A 6,000-nucleotide genomic window follows, 5' to 3' on the forward strand; every position below is an offset into this window, starting at 1 on the left:
GCCTACAACCAGTATCAACCACCAGACATGTGAGTAATGATGTTTCCAGTTGATTCCAACCAACAGCCTTTGGGTCACCTCCAGCCTTTGAATCTTTGCATCTGAAATGCCACGCATGACAGAGCAGATACAAGCATTTCTGCTGTGTCCTGTCCAAGTCTCTGACTGATAGAATCTGGGCTTGTTCTAGGCACCTGAGTCTTGAGGTTGTTTGTTACACAGCCTTAGTAACTTGAACAACGGTTATGCAACACTTGAGCTAGACCTTGAAAGATGAATGGGGATTTTTGTCTAGCAAAACTGTTTGGAAAAGGCTTAATATTTTAGGAGAAAAGTTAAAAGGTAAGTGTGGTTAACACATGGGTTGTGGGAGAGAATCAGGAGATGAGATGAAAAAAGTTGATGTAAGAAAGTGTGCTGTATGGTTTGGTGAAAATTATAATATATTTGTTCATCAGCATAGGCAATTTTCTTCCAGACCACTGGCTTTGAAATGATGTATTTTTAAAATTGCAAAGTTTATACCATAGAATTTCTGGAGCCTTCTGAAATTTCAATTGGAGATAAAACAGGACTTCAAAATGTAACTTCTCTTAAATTATGAGCTATGGTTTAACTGATGAGTAATTTTTAGTTTTATTGTTGGTTAAAAACACACTGTCATTCCCATGAGTGCTCGCATGCAGTTTTAGCATGTGTGTGTATGTCTCTTTTATTTTTTGTTTTGTTTTGTTTTGTTTTGTTTTGTTTTGTTTGCGGTGAGCAGGTTGGTATCAGAGTTATGAATGAGAAGCATTCTTATCAGAATATACTGGATACTAATACATTTTGCATGTAATTTTCTACAGAGGTAATGATTTTAATCAACTTTCAAGATGAAGCACCACATTTGTCAAGGCAGAAGACCCAAATGTGCAATTTTTTCTTAGGGGAAAACTGGCTATAATGAATGTGCTAAAATATGTTAGTTATCTACTAACCTCAATACGCAAGAAAGCACTAGATCATCAGTTTGCCTGGTAAGGGAAAAAACAGCGGCTGCAGCCTGCCCAGCTAAAGAAGAAAGTGGAATCAGCAGAACAAGTGGCCTGTGAAGATGCCAGCTTGTGAGAAATGCCTGGCTGACTGTGAACAGGGATATTATTAAATGGATGCATATGATACATAGCGTAATTATACCACTTATGGCAGAAAAACATCACCATTTTATCAAATGCTCCACTGTGTACATCAAAGATCATGGTATCATCTATCATCTATCTCTGGGATGCTGTGTGAGCTTTGTGGTTCTGGAAGAGCTTCTAGTCAAGTTTTGATTAATTATTGATGGTTTTATTTGATTATAGAAGTAGAGCTTGAATATGTGTGTGCGTTTTCCATTTTTCTTGTAAGAACTGACAATATTGATTAAATTTCCCTTTTAGGAGTGGGAAGCAAGAAGCAAAGTAATTGTCACCACTTCTTGGAGAAGAATGGCTTATAGTGCTTTGAACATATCGTCTCAAAATAACCTCTTTGGAAGATTAGTGGAAAGAAGCAAAACTGTGAAGACCTTGGTTCACAGTAGCTGTTGATGTTTCTTTTTTTCATTTTGGTATTGATTATAATCGCTTCTTCATAAAGCTCAGATGCAGGGTTTATTTCCAGTTCTTTCACCGTGCTTCTTACCTCAGAGTCAAACCATTGCTATACTCTCCACATAGTTGGTTTCCAGTGTTTAAATTGCATGCATGTGGGGCTCAGATTTGTGACATTGCTTTACATATATTACTGTAAAAAAAAAAAATAACCCCAAATCTAGAGTATATAAGGCTTTGTGCTAAGCAAGCATGGAAAAGAGTTACTTATGGCTTATATCCATGTGTGGACTATGATTGATAGAATTTCCCTTGCAATTGCCAAAGAGAAGTCTACATGGTCTTTGAAGAAACAAATTACCTATGACCCCATGTATTTGCATTTGTGCTCTTCCTAACTATACAGTACAGTCTGAATTTAGCCCCCCAACATAGGGGGATGTTTTAGTGGACAAGCACTTAATTCATTTTAAGGTTTTGAGGATTTATCTTATAAGCACTTACTAAGCACTGGTTATGTCTCAAGGCCAGGGCTGCACCCTGGAGACTCAGGGAAGCACAATACTTGATTTCATGGATCTCATAATCTAGTGCTATGGAAACATTAAAATATTAAAACCACAGTGGAGAAGAGCAGTGGATAGGTCTTAGGGAAGAAGGCTTGTATGAAAGGTGATGCCTGAAATCATACTTAGTCATCTTTATATATGATAATTTTTATGGAAGAATGAAATCTTCAGGATTCAATGATATTTTCATTTTAGCAAACTGGCCATCTCTTTTCTTTGAGCTTATAAACATGGTTGAATGTGTAAAGTAGCGAGACAAGAAAAAAATACCTTTGAGTGACCTTGCTTTATTATGTGAAAAATGACAAACTGGTAGGCAGGAAAGATACATGGCTTACCATGTATCTTTCAATTTTTAGGATGTACTAAAAATTTCAATGCAGTTACCACATAGAAGCAAGAGCTAGAGAAGTTCTGAGAGAATTTTTAATCTTTAGGTCAGACAGCAAGGATGTGAGGCGGTAAAGTTAAATTACACTGAGTTACACTGATATTCACTAGTCTGATAGATACAGAGAGACACAATTACCTTCACTCACACAGAGTTTCCTAGGGCTGCAGGAACAAAGCGCCATAAGCTCGGTGGCTCAAAACATTCAGAAATGGTTCTCTCACAGACTCACGGCCACGGAAGCTCCAAGTCTGAACTCAAGGTGTTGGCAGGGCTGTGTTCCCTCTGGAGGCCCTACGGGAGGGCCCTTCCTCGTCTCCAGCTTCTGGTGGCTTCAAGTGTCCCGTAGTTTGTGACAGCCACACTCCAATCTCTGCCTCTGTCTTCACATGGCCTTCTCTGTGCATCTGTGTGTGTCAAATCTTTGTCTGTCTTTGTCTTATAAGGACACTTATTGGATTTAGGGACCACATGGATAATCCAAGATAACCTCATTTCAAAACCCTTAATTTTATAATATTGGCAAGACTTTTTTTGTTTGTTTGTTTGTTTGTTTTGCAAATAAGGCCAGAGTCACAGGTTCCAGATGGACATATCATTTGAGGGGAGACAATTCAACTCACTATATACACAAACACATGTGTGTATCTATATAGCTGTATAATTGACACCATGAAATCATTAATGAAGACACTGCCCTTTTTTTGAGACAGAGTCTCGCTCTGTCGCCCAGGCTGGAGTGCAGTGGTGCGATCTCAGCTCACTGCAACCTCCACCTCCCGGATTCAAGCAATTCTCCTGCCTCAGCGTCCCAAGTAGCTGGGATTACAAGCGCCCGCCACCACGCCTGGCTAATTTTTGTATTTTTAGTAGAGACGGGGTTTCACCATGTTGGCCAGGCTGGTCTCGATCTCTTGACCTGGTGATCCACCTGCCTTGGCCTCCCAAAGTGCTGGGATTACAGATGTAAGCTACCCCTCCCATATAAAACACTGCCCTTTCTATAGTTAAACTGGTCAAGTACTGGACAGTTTACTACAAAAGAAACAATAAATAGATAAAAAATGAAACCTAGGTTCAAAAGCATGAATAATGAATCTTGATTTTAATGATGGTTTCATCAGTGTATGCATATGTCCAAACATCAAATTGTACATTAAATATGTGCAGTTTTTTATATTGATTTTACCTCAACAAAGCTGTTATAAATACAAATAATAAAAAGTGCAAATAAATTGACAAGATACAAATATATTTAACTATCAAAATGATGGAGATTAAAAAACTGTGCTGCTGGCCAGGTGCGGTGGCTCACGCCTGTAATCCCAGCACTTTGGGAGGCCAAATTGGGTGGATCACCTGAGGTCAGGAGTTCGAGACCAGCCTGGCCAACATGGTGAAACCCCATCTCTACTAAAAATACAAAAATTAGCTGGGCATGATGGTGCACACCTGTGATCCCAGCTACTTGGGAGGCTGAGGCAGGAGAATTGCTTGAACCTGGGAGGCAGAAGTTGCAGTGAGCTGAGATCAGGCTGCTGTACTCCAGCCTGGGCAACAGAATGAGGCTCCATCTCAAAAAAACTACAGACAAACAAAAAACAGTGCTGTTGAGTGTGCATTGAGACAGGCATTTTCCAGCACTGCCTTTCTGGAAGCAGGGAGGAGAGGCACAGAAATTTCAGCAAGGGTAAAGTCTTCATCCTGCAACCATGTTTCTAGGAGTCTAGATAATTCGATATACAGGTAAAGTCATAGCATTTATTTAATCATGTTAATTAGTTATGTTATGTAACATATAATAAGATAATATTGTATGTTAATATATAATATAAATATATTATGCTAATACATTAATATATACACACTTAGTCCTTCTATCTGTTACTAAAGAGAGCTCACATGACATCAGCAAGGAAACACAGTCCTTCTATCTGTTACTAAAGCGAGCTCACGTGACATCAACAAGGAAACACAGTTAGTCCTTCTATCTGTTACTAAAGCAAGCTCACCTGACATCAACAAGAAAATACACACTTAGTCCTTTGTATCTGTTACTCAAGCGAGCTCATGACATCAACAAGGAAACATACACTTACTCCTTCTGTTACTAAAGGGAGCTCATGTGACATCAACAAGGAAACACACAGTTAGTCCTTCTATCTGTTGCTAAAGGGAGCTCATGTGACATCAACAAGGAAACGCACTGTTAGTCCTTTGTATCTGTGAGTTGTGCATCTGCCGATTCAAGCAGCCAGGAGTCAAAAATATTTGCAAAAAAAGCCCTTTAAACTGTATTGAACATGTACAAAGTTTTTCTTTTTATTATTCTCTAAATGACACAGTGTAACAACGATTTGCATAGCATTTACATTGTAGTAGGTGTTACCAGTAATCTAGAGATGATTTAAAGTATAGGGAGAATGTGCATAGGCTACGCTGAATACTACACCATTGCATATCAGGGACTTGAGCGTCTAGGGATTCTGGTATCTGGGGGAGGTCCTGGAACCAATTTCTCATGAATACCGACAGATGACTGTATGTTGTATCTTGATGCAATGAATAAACAAAGCAGATAACAGTAACTGACATGGGGTAGAAGGTGAGGGGAAATGAAGGGGTTGCTATTTACATGTTTATATGAGATGAACAGGGCAGACCCCACAGAGGGGATATTTAACAGAAACTGAACGTAGGAGAAGCAGTCCTGAGAACTGTAGACCAAGAGAGCTCGTGGTGGCCCTGGGAAGGGGCTTGTCAGATCTCGTGGCCCCTGGGGGCTGGTGACTGTTAGCGGCTGGCCAACAGCCAGCTGCCGCCCTGAAATCTGCCACTGTCAGCCGGTAACCCAGCATGGCGGAGTATAAAGTCAGGCCTGCTGCAAGGAGATGAAGGACCCCTCTGCTGGTCAGCCTGGGCTGGAGGGTTCTACTACCAGCCTTGCCAAAAGTTTCTCAGAATTGCACTGCATTTTAAGACTTTGCCTGCCCAGACCCCTGCAGCCCCTTCTCATTTTCCTCCACATGCACTTCTCCCAAATAATCTCTTGAGTGGCAAATACTATTCTGGTGTTTGCTGCTCCAAGAACCCAGATGTACACAGTGTTCCAGCAGAGGCTGCACAAATACAGTGGCCCCGAGGAGCTTGGCATTTTTGAGGAGCATCAAGGAGGCCAGTGTGGCATTCATGGAAAGGACAGAGGGAGAGTGGGAGATGAGGTCAGAAATGTACTTGAAGTCCTTGCCGAAGAAAAATAGTTGACTTGCTTATTATAAAACCCTTTTAGTTAAGGAAGAAATAAAAACTGTTAACCAATGGCATCTGTATCCATTACAGAATTTAAAAGAAGGGCATCATACAGCCAGTACCTTACAATCTTCCCATTAGCAGCATTCAACACATCTGTCTAGGTAGTAAACCTAAGTGGCCCAGCTCTGGGCCATTAAATTTTGATGTAACC

This window comes from Homo sapiens, chromosome 21, assembly GCF_000001405.40.
Source record: "Homo sapiens chromosome 21, GRCh38.p14 Primary Assembly".
Taxonomy (NCBI): domain Eukaryota; kingdom Metazoa; phylum Chordata; class Mammalia; order Primates; family Hominidae; genus Homo; species Homo sapiens.